General features: G+C 37.2%; 1 protein-coding gene across 70 annotated transcripts in view; it reads left to right on the top strand.

The window, feature by feature from the left end:
• The window catches only part of ZNF248 (zinc finger protein 248), a 99,566-nt gene that overhangs the window by 13,034 nt on the left and 69,994 nt on the right, over nucleotides 1-16,538 (top strand). For 22 of the 70 annotated variants that reach the window (NR_147993.2, NR_147994.1, NR_148004.2 and 19 more), the window contains 3 exons: nucleotides 6,959-7,085; nucleotides 7,358-7,453; nucleotides 11,954-12,045. Coding sequence is in view for 40 of the 70 variants with exons in the window: in NM_001352476.2 (NP_001339405.1) it covers nucleotides 6,959-7,085; nucleotides 7,358-7,453; nucleotides 11,954-12,045 (315 nt within the window). In the remaining 30 variants the exon portion in view is untranslated. Of the gene's footprint in view, nucleotides 1-6,958; nucleotides 7,086-7,357; nucleotides 7,454-11,953; nucleotides 16,308-16,538 lie in introns of those variants that run through there. The other 48 variants (NM_001352469.2, NM_001352482.2, NM_001267597.2 and 45 more) reach the window with 5 other exon arrangements.

Genomic DNA, 16,538 nt, shown 5'->3' with positions numbered 1-16,538 from the left:
AACTCCAGCCTGAACCACAGAGTGAGACCCCCATCTCCAAAAAAACAAGAAAGAAAGAGAGAGAAGGAGGGAAGGAGAAGGAAGGGGAAAGGAAAGGGGAAGGGAAGAAGGAAGGGGGGAGGGAAGGGGGAGGGAAGAGGAGGGGGAGAGGGAAGGGAAGGGAAAAGAAAAGGAAAGGAAGGAAATAGTTAAAGTCGTTTCTAAGAAGGAAGGACTCACTTCTGCCAGTTGCTGTTTTTTTTCTGTCTTTCGAATTGTTTGTTCATTTCTTTCACTGCTCTGTTTAGCTGATTTTTTGTAGCATATTTTGATTTACTTCCCATTTCCTTTCCTGTATTTTTTAAGATATTTTGTTGGTGTTTACCATGGAGATTAACAATGAACATTCCACATTTATAACAATCTAGTTTAAATACCAGTTTTGTCTCAGTATCATACAAAAACTCTGCTCCTATCCAGCTGCCTTCTCCCTACGTTGTTGTTGCTACAGATTACATCTTTATACATTGTGCACTGAATGACATAGATTTATAATTACTGTGTATGCATTTTCCTAAACTCCTTTAGGAAATAAAGATTGGAGTTACAAACTACAAATTGGACTTACAAAATGCAAAATGCTGGCTTTTGTACTTACATTTTTTTTACTAGAGCTCTTTATTTCTTCATACGGCGTTGAGTTATGAAGATCTTTTAATTTCAACCTTCCATTTAGTATTTTCTGTAGGGCAGGGTTTATGATAATGAGTTCTCTTGGCTTTTATCTGGAATGTTTTAATTTCTCTTTCATTTTTGAAGGATCAATTTGCCAGGTTTACAATTCCTGGCTGGCAGGATTTTTATTTTTGTTTTTTCCCCTCTTAACACTTTAAAGATGCCATCCCACTGCCTTCTGGTCTCTATGGTGTCTGACCTCTGTGGTTGTTATTTGGCTTTTGATAGTTTGATAATAATGTGCCTCAGTGGATCTCTTTGGATTTTTCTTACTTGGGGTTTGTTGAGCTTTGTGGATGTAAGATTTGTGTTATTCTTAGAATTTGGGCAGTTTTTAGCCCTTATTTCTTTGAGTAATCTTTCTCCCCATTTCTCTCTCTTTTTTCCTTCTGGGACTCCTGTAATTGTATGATAGATAGTCCACTCAAAGGTGTCCCACAGGTCCCTTAGGCTCTATTCACATTTCTTTATATATTTTTTTCTGTTCTGCTCCTCATACCAGATTACTTCAATTTTTATATTCTCCAATTCATGATTCTTTCAGCTGTCTGTTCAAATGGGTTGTTAAAACCTCTAGTGGATTTTTAAATTTCGGTCATTTTACTTTTCAGCTTTAGATTCCTACTTGGTTTCTTTTTACAATTTCCAACTCAGTTCAGACATTGTTGGCCTCATTTCTTTTAGTTATTTGTCATTTTTGATGACACTTAATTTATTTAAAATCTTTGTTTAGTAAGTCCAATATCTGGGCTTCCTTAAGGAAGGAATTTGTTTTCCTTGAGTAGGCTCTGTATTCTTGTGTCTTTGAATACCTTCTACGTTTTTATTGGAAATTGGACATTTGAATATTTTAATATGGTAAGTCGGGAAATCAGATTTTTACGCTTCCCCAAGGTTTGCTGTTTTTCTTTTTTTCTTTTTTTTTTTTTTTTGAGGCAGAGTCTTGCTCTGTCGCCAGGCTGGAGTGCAGCGGTGCAATCTCGGCTCACTGCAACCTCTGCCTCCCGGGTTCAAGCAATTCTCCTACATCAGCCTCCCTTGCAACTGGGACTACAGGCATGCGCCACCACGCCCAGCTAATTTTTGTATTTCTTTTTTTAGTAGAGATGGGGTTTCACCATGTTGGCCAGAATGGTCTTGACCTCTTGACCTCCCAAAGTGCTGGGATTACAGGCATGAGCCACCATGCTCGGCCATATGCTATTTTTATAGTCTGGTTTCCTTGTTCTATATGTGACACTGAAGTCTCTGTTCCTTAGCTTGCTTTCAGCTAATGTTTTTACAGAGATTTCTTTGAATCCCTGGTGATAAAGACAACAAACATTTCTCTCAGTCTTTGCACATTGACTCTGCGCTGGGGTACTCTTTAACATTTAGCCAGGCTGTTTACAACCTTGCTTTAGCCTTCGTGTCCTGATTGCACTGAACCTCGAGAATAGCTGGAGGTGAAAGCTTATGATCTTCTTAAAGCTTGTATACATTCTGCCTTGGGTATGTTTCTGGATTTCTAATTTTCTCAGTATATATGGGGTTTTTTGAAAGCCCAAATTTCCCAAAGAAACCCTTTCCAGGTTTTCTTCTCAGGCCTTAAGTGGTATACTATATGTCTCAACCATAATCCTCTGCTGCAGACGACTGCAGATATTTTGTTCCCCTTACAGTGTTTTTGAGCAAGGACTATTTTTTTTCTATCCTAAATGAGTTCTGAGTTAGGTGAAACAGAGACAAGCATATTGCATCAGTCCTTCAGGTATTTCCCACATAGTTGGAACAGATAAGCAATTCCTTGTAAGTAAGGTCTGCTCTGGTCCCTCTAGAATCAAGGACCAGGACCCACACTTGGAATGCGGTCTGCCGTCTCAAGGCTGTCACCAAGCCAAGGAGGGTTGGGGTAAAGGCAAGTAGAAGTGCCACAAAGCTTTCCTACCATTTTGAAGTTGCCTTTTATTTTTTCTTTCTGATTTGGCATCTACTTGGTTGCGGTCAGCCTTTGACCTTTTCAGAATTCTGACGAAGTTTATTTTGACAGTTTCTGCTTGTTTTTTGATGTCTCTGAGGGGACCTGAGCTTGGTGCCACCTACCTCTCCATTTTGCTGACATCATTCCACTTCATTAATCTTGTCCTCTTGTATGTTTCTTTCTTATTATATAAACTTTCTGCTTTAGGAGAGTTTTAGATTTATGGAAAAGTTGTGAAGACAGTAGTACAAAGAGTTTCCATATACCTCCCATAGACACAGTTTCATTAACATATTAATGTAGTACATTTGTCACAATTAATGAAACAATACTGATATATTATTAAGTGATGACCACTTTATTGGGATTTTCTTAATTTTTCCCTAATGTAATTTTTCTGTTCCAGGATGCCCACATTCTACTTAGTCATCATGTCTCCTTAGGCTCTTCTTAGCTGTGACAGTTTCTCAGACTTTCCTTGTTTTTGATAACCCTGACAGTTTTGAGGGGTTCAAGTCAGGTGTTTTGTAGAATGTCCCTCAGTTGATATTTGTCTACTGTCTTCCTCATTATTAGACTGAGGTTAGGGTTTCTTAGAGGAAGACTACAGAGGTAGTGTCATTCAGTCACATCCTATCAAGGGAAAATGCTATGAGCATGATTTATCACTGTTGATTACCTGGTGGAGGTAGTGTGGTCATGTTTCTCCACTGTAAAGTTACTCCTTTGTCCTCCGTTTTCAACTGTACTCTTTGGAATGAAGTGGAGAGTTACGCTACACCTCCTTGATGGCAGAGTATCCATATAAATTATTAGGAATTCTGTGCAGGAGATTTGTCTGTTCTTTTGTGTTTACTTATTTAAGCATTTATTTATATTAGTATGAACTCATTGCTAGTTATTTTATACTTTGGTTATAATCCAACACTACCTTTTTTTTTTTTTTTGGTAGACAATTTTGTTTTTAATGCATGAAAGAAGGACAACAAAGTGGTCAGAGAAATTTACTCCAAAGGAAGTAGAGTTAAGTTAGGAAATAGAACATAACTTTAAAATAAATACTTTTAGTCATTGCCTCAGAAAGTTTCAGTAGATCATCATCACATAAAACAAGAGCAGGCTATTACTGAAAAACAAATAAGCATCAAAACATTCTTGGAAATTAAATACACATCTTTAGAAATGTGCACATTTAGACACATTCAGGTAAAAATTTTAAAAATCCACAGATAAAATTTTACTAGCTTCTAGAGAGGGATTATTTATAGCTATAAAAAATCATGTGAACATATGCCTTTTCATCTATGACACAAGATGCTAGAAAACAGAGAAGCTGAGAAGACAGTCTTAAAGAAGGATTTTCATCTGAATCTTCCTTTGGTTTAACCATATACCTTGTTATTTTGTTGTTCCAACTGCTTCAGCTTGGCCATGAGGCTGTGTTTTCAATTGGTTCCTGTGTCCCTTTGACATAGCCCACTATTGTGTTTTCATTTGAGTACTTTCTCATTTTCTGGTACCAGAAGTGATTTCAGGCTCATTATATACCTGCCAGACCTAGAAGCAGCTGGTTTTCAAAGGAGCACTGGTTTTCTTTTTTTCTTTTTTCTTTTTTTGAGACATAGTCTCACTCTTGTCCAGGCTGGAGTGCAGTGGCATAATCTCGGCTCACTGCAACCTCTGCCTTCCGGTTTGGGTGATTCTCCTTCCTCAGCCTCCCGAGTAGCTGGGATTACAGGTGTGTGCCACTACACCCGGCTAATTTAGATTGTTTAGCTTTGTAAGAAATTGCCAAACTGTCTTCCACAGGTGCTGTATCATTTTGCACTCCCACCAATTGTGAATCAAAATTCCTGTTATTCTGCATCTGAACTTAAAATTGATACTGTCATTGTTTTGAATTTAACCATTTTAATAAATATTATGGTATCTCATTTTTGTTTCTTTAATGACACATGATGGTGAGCATCTGTTCATATGTGTATTTGCTATTGGTCTGTCTTTGGTGACGTGACCATTCAGATCTTTTGCCTATTTTTCAAGTTGCATAATTTGTGTTCTTATTATTGAGTTTTGAGGGTCCTTTTGCATATTCTGCTTCTAACACCTTTTTAGGTAAGTGTTTGCAAATATTTTTTCTCAGTCTGTGGTTTGTTTTTTCATTTTTGTAGAAGCATCTTTTGCAGAGCAAAACATGAATTTGATGTTATAAATTTCTCTCTGTGAACTACTGTCTCTGCATCCCATAAATTTTGATAAGTAGTGTTTTCATTTAAAACATTTAAAAATTTCTTTTGAGACTTCCTCTTTGATCTATAGGTTATTTGTATGGTTGTTTAGCTTTCAGGTATTTGGAGGATTTTTCAGCCGTCTTGCTTATTGGTTTCTATTTAATTCCATTGTAGTCTGAGAACATGTGTTTTTTATGATAGCTATTGCATTAAGTTCGTTAAGGTGTGTTTTATGGCCCAAAATATGTTCTGTGTTGGTGAATGTTACATGTGAACACGAACAGAAGGATAGAATGTGTATTTTATTGTTTGGGATGAAGTATTGTATAAATGTCACTTAGATCAGGTTGGTTGATAGTGCTATTTTGGGTCATATATGTACCTACTGATTTTCTGCCTGCTTGATCCATCAGTACTTACAGGGGTGTTAAGTCTCCAATTATGGTGTATATTTCCAAGTTCTCCTTTTACTCCTCTCAGTTTTTGCCTTATGTATTTTGATAGTCTTTCGTTAAATGCATAAATGTTTCAGATTATGTCTTCTTTAATATGATTTTGAACCCATCCAATAAGCTCTTAATTTCAGATATTGTACTTTTCAGATCTAGAATGTCCATTTTATGTATGTGTGTGTGCATGTGTGTGTGTGTGTGTGTGTTTGTGTATACATGTATAAGAGGTGTCTTGAGACCACCCCCAGGTTATTAATGATGTCCTAGGATGACTCAGCATATATTGGAGCATGGCGTTAGAAACAAAAATTAGGGTGCTAGGTGTGTCAGTTGTTACTGATGTATTGTTTCTTGTAGACCCATAGTCATACTTATGGCTATGATTTATTGTAGTGAAAGGATACAAAGCAAAATCAGCGAAATTCCTAGAGGTTTCTCCCAATGGAGTCTCACAGAACACACTTAACTCCTCTAGCAATGACATGTGACAACGCACGTAAAATGTGTACCAAGGAAACTCACTAGACATTTGGTGTCCAGAATTTTTATTAGAGGCTAGTCACAGGTACTTCCTGCCTATCATGTACCAAAATTCTAGACTCCCAGGAGCAATGCACATACTGAGTATAAACCATATTACTTATGGTTATAGCTCAGGCTTAGTGAGCCGTTCTTATCAGAGAAGGTTAAGGTCAGAACCTTTCTGAAATCCAAGTTCCCAAATGCCCATCAACGGTGATCTTTTGTAGCAGACCTTTCAAAGGTTAGTAGTCTCAGGCTTGCTGTATTAACCTTTTTCTGTATAGCACACATACCATGTATGTGTTGAACTTCCCTCATTTTCTCATTTATTTTGTTAATATTTTCTTCTGTTTTGTTGAACATATTAATTATAATTCATTTTGAAGTTCTTGTTTGTTAATTCTACTATCACGGTCACCTGTGAGTTTGCTTTTTTTTTCTTTTTTTTCATTGTCCCTATCTCTTCACATACCATGAATTTTTTTACTAGATACCAAATATTGTATTTAAAAAAGAAACATTGGAAACATTGGTGGAAGCTCCAGAAGATGATCTCATTGAGCGGAGAGGATTCATCCTTTTCTCTGATGGGCATGTAGACTGCGGGGCAGTCACTTGAATCAATATGTGCTGAGCTTGGTCATATTCATTTCAATCCCATTATTTTAATAACAAAGTTTTACTTCCTTGATGACAGTTAACTTGATAATGTAAAAGGTAATATGAAACAACTAATATTTCCTCTGTAACTTCAATCTCCTTGGTACACACTGCTAGTTCCTGCAGTTTGCAACTTAATAAATGTTATTCTGTGTATCTCCTTTTCAGGTCATAAGCACTCTAGGAACAGGGACCATGTTTGTCTGTTTTCACCAGTAGGATTTGCAGCAGCTAGCACAATTCCAGACCCTTAGTAGAAACTCAATTTATACAAGATATTTTGTATTCTGTATAGTATAGCAGCACAGAGGGAGGTAACCTGTCATTTTTTAGTAAACTCTAAAGAGATTAGTTCTCTTAAATCTTTTCTGTATCATCTAGTTCTGACCATTTCATGTAAAAAGAGTATACTATTACAGGAACAAGTGTCATTCAAGGATGTATGTGTGGACTTCACTCAGGAAGAGTGGTATCTGCTGGACCCTGCTCAGAAGATTCTATACAGAGATGTGATCCTGGAAAATTATAGCAATCTTGTCTCAGTAGGTAAGGAGTTTTTTTCCGCACATGGCTATCAATAGCATGCATTTACTAGTTGATGCCCTGTAGTTTTCTGATGTAAAGCTTGAGATTGAAGGCTCTGAGATGACTGATCCCATTTGGCCACCATAAAGGTGCTCTTGCCTTGTCAGAGATTGGTTCATTTGTGCACATTCTTTGAGTAGCTGGTGAAGCTGTGCCTTTCTTCCCCATGATGTATTCAGAGCCCCTGAAACCAAGCTATTTAGCTCTAGTCCTGTGGTATTTTCTCTTAACAGGGTATTGCATTACTAAACCAGAAGTGATCTTTAAGATCGAGCAAGGAGAAGAGCCCTGGATATTAGAAAAAGGATTCCCAAGCCAGTGCCACCCAGGTGAGTTAGTGATTTCTGGCAGATGAAAGCCAGAGGAAATTAGAACTTAGGTAATTGGTTTAGGATTTGTCACCTTTGGAATATTTTTCACAAATGTCTCTTTTTAGCCCCAGACCTTTGGAAATGATCAAAAACAATTGGCCCACATCCCTGTTACCTTAATCACTCCTCCATATGTTATTCTCACTCATAAATGCTTTTCTTGGCTGGGTGCGGTGGCTCACGCCTGTAATCCCAGCACTTTGGGAGGCTGAGGCAGGCGGATGACGAGGTCAAGAGATCGAGACTGTTCTGGCCAACATGGTGAAACCCCGTCTCTACTAAAAATATGAAAAATTAGCTGGATGTGGTGGTAGCTGCCTGTAGTCCCAGCTGCTTGGGAGGCTGAGACAGGAGAACCATGTGAACCTGGGAGGTGGAGGTTGCAGTGAGCCGAGATTGTGCCACTGTACTCCAGCCTGGTGACAGAGTGAGACTCAGTCTCAAAACAAACAAACAAACAAAAAAAAACAAACACTTTTTTTTTTTTTTACATTTTAAAGTATTTTACTTATACCTATAATCCAAACCAGTTGGCTTCATTTTAGATATGTTTTCTTGGTTAGTTTGTCTTTATCTTTTAAAATTGTTTGCCTTCCTTCCGTTGTCTTAGACACCTTTTGTTAGCTGACAGGTATTCATGCAATCCTTCTATATATTCATTTAACAACATATGATGAGCACTCACTATGTCTGTTATGTTTTAGGTAATTAACAGAATAATGTCCCTGGTATCTTAGTGTGTGTATTAAAATAAAGGACAAAAAAATGCGTGTGTGTGTGTGTGTGTGTGTGTGTGTGTGTGTACATGTCTGTGTGTTTGTATATATGTACACACCCATGTGCATATGTGTGTGTATATAGGTACACACACACTGTGTTGGGTCATGGTAAGTGCTGTGAAGAGAATTCACACAGGAAAGGAGGACGAAGAATGACGGTATAGTCTGTTTGGCAGTAGGTTAGAGAAAACCTTTTTGAGGAGTTCCCACATTAGAGATGAGGCTTTAATATGAAAGTGTGAGCTATGTGGATTCAGTGTAGTCCAGGCAGAGAGAACATCAGGTACCAAACCTCTTAGACAGGTGTGTTCTTAGAATGTTTGAACAGTGTCAGGGAAATCACTGTGGTTGGAAGCTAGCGGGCATGGTGGAGACTGGTAGGAGATAATGTCAGGAGAAGAAACATGAGCTATGGTAGATACATAAATTTTACTTTTGGTGCTATGAGAAACTGTTTTGAGTAAATGTAAATCAGCTTAAGTCATCAGATTTGATTTACAGTTTAAAAGGATCTCTCTGACATCTATGCAGTGTATATACTGTGGTGGGTGGTTGTGGGTGGTATGAGTAGGGATAGGGTACCATTATGTGCTTCAGAGGAGAGAGGATAGTGGCTGAGACTGTTGGAAGTGCCAGAGGTACTGAGAAGTGGTAGGTTTGTACAAATATTTTGAAGATGGAGCCAAGAACATTTGCTTTCAGATTGGGTATGAGAGAAGGGAGAATCAAGTGTGATCCCAATAATTTGTCTCAAGCAGCTAGATAGATTAGGTTATCATTTACTGAGACAGAGAAAAATTAGAGAGGAGACATATAAGGGAGTTATCACAGATTTAATTTTGAACACCAGAAGTTGGAGATAACTCTTATAATCGAGTCTGTTTTTGACTAAGAGATTGGATATGTGTAAGTACATGGTTGAGGTCAGAACTAGAAGTATCCATTTGAAAGGCATCAACTTAAGATGATGTTAAAGGAATGAGGCAGAATGAGATCTTCAAGAGCAGAAGTCAACAGACTTTTTTTGTAAATGACCAGATAGTAAATGTTTGAGGCTTGGCAGGCCACATATGGTCGTGGTTGCAGCTGCTCCTCCTCATCTTCTTTCTTTTCCTTATTCCTTCTCGTTCTCCTCTTGCTCTTTCTCTCTCCTCTCTTTTCCTCTTCCCTCTTCTGTACTGCCTCATCCAGCTTTTTCCCTTCAAAAACTTAAAAAACATACTTAGCTCAAGGGCCATTGCCGTGCAGTTATATGCCAACCCCTTTTCTAGAGTGTGATTGTATGTAGGTGAGAGTAGTCTTGGGACAATAATGCTTTTAGTAAGTATTAAATTCATCCCTTAGAGGATATTGAGGAATAACAATCTGAGCTACACAAAAACCAGAGAGCCTGGTTTCCTGTAGTCAAATGAGGTACATTCTTCCATGTTACTGCTATCTTGAATGGCAACCATGGCATCACCGTACTAATAAACCTGTTAATATTTCCCACCAGTCTCTTTGTTCCTATTGTTATTTTTCATTTAAAGCTATCTTCTACATACCTTTATATTCTCACTTTTCACTGATATAACTCAAAAGCAAAACTATGTGTTCTCATTCCTGACTCAGTCTAATTGTTAGTTGTCTAATTTCTAATTCCTAGTTGGTTCTTTTCTCTTTTTTTTTAGCCTAAATTATTCAATTTATCTTCCTTTAGCTTAACAAACTAACCTAAAGTTGCTGCTTATTAATAAATTAAATTTCCCTTTCTTTTCTTTTCTTTTTTTAGTTTTAAACCTTTGTGTCAAGGGCTGACTTTCAATAGATTGCAGCAAGGGAGCTGCTCAGTAAATTTCCCTTTCAATGACTATAATAGTGTAGCCCTTGCTACCTGTCTTAAATTTCTTTGTTTCTGCTCCCTAAAATTTATGTCAAATCCCGTCCTATTCTATATCTTAAATTTTATTTGCAAATGTTTTCTCATTTACTGGAAAACTTCCGTTCTTGTTTGCCTTGCCTTTTTTCAGGTAATTCATACTGTGTTTGTAAAGTGTTTAGAAATTGAATAGTAATGGCTTATTATTTCACTTGTTTTAAGTTAGAACTTGATTTTTTGCTGAAACTTAAATAGCCCAGATTTTATGACATTAACTCACCAGTGGCTGTATGCCAAAAACTTAGACCTGTTCATATGGCTTAGGGTTGCTTAGGGTTTCTTTTTGCATTGAGATTTTTGTTCTCCAAAAGAGAAGGGCCTCTCTTACTAATTTGGGTATTTTGATAATTACTTTGTTGATTATCTGTGTAGCCAGATTTAGGAGAGATCATTCATTTTCATACATTCTGAAAGTATTCTATGATACTCTTCCTAAATACATATTCCCATATTTTGTCTTCGTGTATTATAGCTGATCAGGTGCAGGTTGGAAATAATTCAGTGCACGTTGCTTTATAAGAATAATGTACAGTTACATTATAGTAACACCTGCCAAGTTCTGGACTCTGGTCACAATAGGGGCGATAGCATTGAGCAAGGGATTTATTTTATGTTACAATGAATTATATAAACAGTAACTTCTAAAAGATGGAGCAAGTGGAGCCTTAAAATGGTAGAGATGTTATAGAGATTTTTGCTATCATTATTTTATTATTATTACTATTATTAGTTTTTGTTTTTAAGTTAAAGTAGCAGTTCACTGAGGGATATCCAGGATCTAAGGAGAGATAAGGATAAAATGTTTCTAGTTGAGTGGAAGGTATGTTATTAGGGATGAGCAATTTCTGAGAGTCTAATCTCTAGCCAAACTGCACAGAAATATTTTCAATAGATTTGCATGATGTTGAGAAGATGAGGGTGTAAACCATGCTTTACCTCTGCCAAACCTAATTCTTATGTTTCTCACTACCACTCACTCTATTTCCTTTTTAAAAAAACAACTCCCTTGAACTCATTCTCTGTGCATTTCCTGCTCTTTGAAAGAACAGCTCTCAGAATATCTCCATCTCCTGTTTATCATGTCTTGAGTTTATTTCACCTTCCCTAGTATGCTTTTCCTACAGCATTAAAAAAAACTATTTCTTCTCAATAAAACTTAAAGAAAACACTGGCTCTTGGGCTATATAGGACTGTTCTTTTGAATCCAAGGAAGTTGATGTTTTCAGAATGTTAATTTTCTTGCTGATTCAAAGATAGAAAGAAGCATGTACTCTGGTGGGAATTCTACCCCAGTAAACTGTGTGTGAGGGGATTAGGACCAAGCTCTGTTTTGTCTCCACCAAACCTAATGCATCCTCTGAAACCCCTTGTCTGCTAATCTTCACCATCACTTTATTCAGTGTTCATTGTCTCTGTTGGGTTCACCCCATTTTCTCCGAGTTTTTCTATTTCTGAATCAGCCACTCTGGTTCCCTGTGCTGTGAATTTTATTTCACCTTTTCTTTTCAGTTTTGAAGGTTATATTTATAAAGTGTTAAATATCATTGCCAATTTCTTCTCCCTGTTTCCACTGAAGCATGTTTTATGTTTTCCACCTAAACCTTGGAGGGTAAAGAAAATGTACACTTGAACTCAGTTCACACCAGGAAACTGAATTTAAAACAAAAGAATTGACTGTATGATAGTGCATTTGTGTAAAAGTCTGATTCCATCAGAAATGTATTAAGGTTCATAAGATGTGGTTATTTTTCTCATTTCTAGAAAGGAAATGGAAAGTTGATGACGTGTTAGAGAGCAGCCAGGAAAATGAAGATGACCATTTTTGGGAGCTTCTATTCCACAACAACAAAACAGTAAGTGTAGAAAATGGAGATAGAGGAAGCAAAACTTTCAATTTGGGCACAGACCCTGTTTCTTTAAGAAATTATCCCTATAAAATATGTGACTCATGTGAAATGAATTTGAAAAATATTTCGGGCTTAATTATTAGTAAAAAGAACTGTTCCAGAAAGAAGCCTGATGAGTTTAATGTATGTGAGAAATTGCTCCTTGATATTAGGCATGAGAAAATCCCTATTGGAGAGAAGTCTTATAAATATGATCAAAAAAGGAATGCCATTAATTATCACCAGGATCTCAGTCAGCCAAGTTTTGGCCAATCTTTTGAGTATAGTAAAAATGGACAAGGCTTCCATGATGAGGCAGCATTTTTTACAAATAAGAGATCTCAGATAGGAGAGACAGTCTGTAAATATAACGAATGTGGAAGAACCTTCATTGAAAGTTTAAAGCTGAATATATCTCAAAGACCTCATTTGGAAATGGAGCCGTATGGATGCAGTATTTGCGGGAAGTCCTTCTGCATGAATTTAAGGTTTGGACATCAGAGAGCTCTTACAAAGGACAATCCTTATGAATATAATGAATATGGGGAAATCTTCTGTGACAATTCAGCTTTCATTATCCATCAGGGAGCTTACACAAGAAAGATTCTCCGTGAATATAAAGTGAGTGACAAAACCTGGGAAAAGTCAGCTCTCTTAAAACATCAAATAGTACACATGGGGGGAAAGTCTTATGATTACAATGAAAATGGGAGTAATTTCAGCAAGAAGTCACATCTTACCCAGCTTCGGAGAGCTCACACAGGAGAAAAAACCTTTGAATGTGGTGAATGTGGGAAAACCTTCTGGGAGAAGTCAAACCTCACTCAACATCAGAGAACACACACAGGAGAGAAGCCCTATGAATGTACTGAATGTGGGAAAGCCTTTTGCCAGAAACCACACCTGACCAACCATCAGCGAACACATACAGGAGAAAAACCCTATGAATGTAAGCAATGTGGAAAAACATTCTGTGTGAAGTCAAACCTCACTGAACATCAGAGAACACACACAGGGGAGAAGCCCTATGAATGTAATGCATGTGGGAAATCCTTCTGCCACAGATCAGCCCTCACTGTGCATCAGAGAACACACACAGGGGAGAAACCGTTTATATGTAATGAATGTGGAAAATCCTTCTGTGTGAAGTCAAACCTCATTGTACATCAAAGAACTCACACTGGGGAGAAACCATATAAGTGTAATGAATGTGGGAAAACCTTCTGTGAAAAATCAGCTCTCACTAAACATCAGAGGACTCACACAGGGGAGAAGCCGTATGAGTGTAATGCATGTGGGAAGACCTTTAGTCAGAGGTCAGTGCTCACCAAACATCAGAGAATTCACACAAGGGTGAAAGCTCTTTCAACATCCTGAATGTTAGAAGCCTTCATACACTTGTGAAATTGGTTATACAGTTTCAAAAAAGGAGATCAGAGAAAGCCAAAGAATGTCAGAAATTTGTAGAAAATGACTTCTTGTTTGAATATGTAAAAGCTTTCAAGAAAAATTAAAACTTTTCATTAGAAAATTTGTACTGAGGGGAATTCTATTCATCTAAGTAATATGGTGAAAATATTTATCTGGAATTTATGTTGTTTAGTGTTATATTCCAGACGTGATACCAAAATTTTGTTGCAAATATAATGGACAATATTTATTTATACCCATATTCACAGTGGAATCTGAAGCTTATAAAAGTTGAATGACAGCAGCATTAAACATATATGTGAAGAGTCCCCGATGTTTGTAGACCTTATGTGAGTATGCAAATATATAAATTTGAGTATGCTTGATTTGTATATTGGAACTCAACATGATCATAAGGAGAAGATACGTACCCTTAATTGAGTAACTACTATGGTATTTGTTAATATTTTCTACACTAAATACCATTGGTGTCTTTATAGGTTGACATAATTATATATGTGTATGTACATATGTTTGTGTGTATATGTAAATATATTTCTACACACATACTTAAATATAGTGATGTGCTAGTATAACCTCATACTGACTTAAAAGTTCTGATTGTTAAATTTTAAGGAATTTTGTGAGCCAGTTATTAAAAGCAGTCATTATTTAAAATATGTAAACTTACAGTTAAAAACAAAGGTAATAAATACTCAGCACTCATCACTTCCTAATTATTTTGCTACATTTCACTATTACCTTTGCTGTTTTACTTATTTAATCTGTATGATGAAAATACTGTATAATAGTGTGCACTGCACATCTGTCTCTTCCCAGCTCCACATTCAGTGCTGTCTTGGTAGCTTGGACTTAGTGGGAGTGTTTACACCATGGAAATTGACAAACTATAAATCAGGGTTTTAATTTTCTCAGAGAACCTGCTGTCAAATATTTACAGCACATCACTGTGTATATATGAAAACGTATTTGGCAATACAAACCACATACCCCTTCTATTTCCTGACATAAATAAATGGCTATGGCCATTTACAGCTGAACCACGTCTTCAAGAAAGAAGCCAAAAATATTTCCGTGAGGTTTTTAACTACCTCTGAATCTGTCCTACTCTAAATACTACCGGAGTCTCTTTGTAGGTTGGCCAGTATATGTTTTTAGTGAAATATTATTTCACAAAGAACTATATCACGTACCTTTCCTCTGACTGTTTCCTGGCATATATGCATGAATATGGCCATTATTGAACTATCACTTCAGTAAAGAAGTTAAACAGTACTTTTCTGAGGTTTTTCAGCTACCTCTGGGTCATTCTGTAATGTAAATGTTGTTAATAAGAATGGTTTTTACATAAATTATGCAAAGGTTAACAAGCAGTAACACTGCACTCCTCAAAAAGTGGCGGTATGTAATGAAAGGCCCTTTTGATATCCTTGATTTTTCATTGTGTATCTGTTTGGGCACGGTCTATGTAACACTAGTTCTGCGTATTAGTATTTTAGAGTATCTCTGCCTCCCTTGTCCTGTTGTTTCTTTTGCCCCCTTGGAACACATTGGTCAGCAGTTCTAAGAGACACTGCCCACATGATGGCCATTCCCTACTTCATCCTTGCTGAGCTAAATTTTATATTTTTGTGCATCCTTCTCCCAGATGACTTAGGTGGTAAGTCCAGATTAGTCAAAGCTAATCATGGAAGTTCCATTTTAATGATTCTGTTGGGGTGAACTTGGGAGCAATGAGATGTTTGGGAAGTATTGTGTAGTACTTCTGGGAAAGATCTCCTTGATACAACATTGTCATGACATGAGAAGAGACTCTGCTGGGCTTTTTCATGTCTGTAACATGGTATTGGCTTATCGTTTTTATCTCTGAAGGGCAGTAGCCTGAAGATAACAGTGCACAAGGTGGGAAAAGCCAGCTCAGAGGTGACGTTGCCGAGCTACTCTGCTCTCTATACCTGTTCTCTACTGGGACTTTTTATAACCCTCAATAACTGTTTTTTATTTGGTCTTAGGGCTGTCTGATACTTAGAGCTGAAGGCATTCCAGCTGACACAGAGGAATATTTTTCTAAGTGTTAATGTTCTATATGGTAATTAGGGGGAAGAATTATTTCTTTTCACAAGTTAATATAGGGATGGCTGTTTGTATCAGCCATGGTTCTTTCTGGTGGAAAACAGAATTCTCCAACTAAAAATATTTTAATGGCAGACTGATTACAGTGGTGTGGGCCAGAAACAAGGGACAGTGAAACACCCAGAGACTTGTATCAGCAGGAAGCCATTGCCATTCTGAGCCTTGAAGGGCAAGGAGGGAAACAGTGTTACCAGAGCCCAGTAAGAACTGCTGTCATGAAGGAGGGGCCACCTTGTAAGAGACATCATTACTACCAGAACTGTGGTGCCAAATTGCTGGTGTCTCTCTTTGGAGAAACCAACCAGATACATCTGCTGGAGAGCCCAGGTGGGCACAGAGAAGGGTGGAGAGAGAATCTGGGAAGAGAAATGGAGAATAAGCAGCACAGTGTTATTCATTTCTGTAAATTCCTATGTAGAAGGCTCAGTGTTAGAAATAAAGTTATTCTACTAGTTGCAAGTTAAGTGTTTCTGTTTGTTCTGCTTTCCTGTTAGCATAAGTAAACTCCCTTTGGAACTACACAGGTATGTCTCTCCTTCAACATGTGTGAAGCAGACATTATATTAAATTACATTATTCATACCTCCCTGTGGTGTTTCTTATTGTATGTGGTGTAAGGTAAGCAGCTCTGTATTCTTCCAAATAAATAGCCAGTTGTCCCTGCACTGTTTGATTAATTCACCCTTTCTTGTGTTAGTTTGATACATTTTTATTATGTACTTAAATATGTGTTATGACTATTGCTTTTGACTGCTCAATGCAACTTTTCTGCATTCTTCTAGTAATAGAACATGTCATTGTGATCACGGGGTGGCATTTACCCCAATCCTGGCTCTGCAGAGTACTGTGTCTTCATGTCCTCCACATTTGTATTGATCCAGAAATGATAGTTTGTT

Source organism: Homo sapiens, chromosome 10 (genome assembly GCF_000001405.40).
Source record: "Homo sapiens chromosome 10, GRCh38.p14 Primary Assembly".
In the NCBI taxonomy this organism is placed as follows: Eukaryota; Metazoa; Chordata; class Mammalia; order Primates; family Hominidae; genus Homo; species Homo sapiens.
Note: the sequence above shows the minus strand (reverse complement) of the source record. Positions and strands in the feature narration are given on the sequence as shown.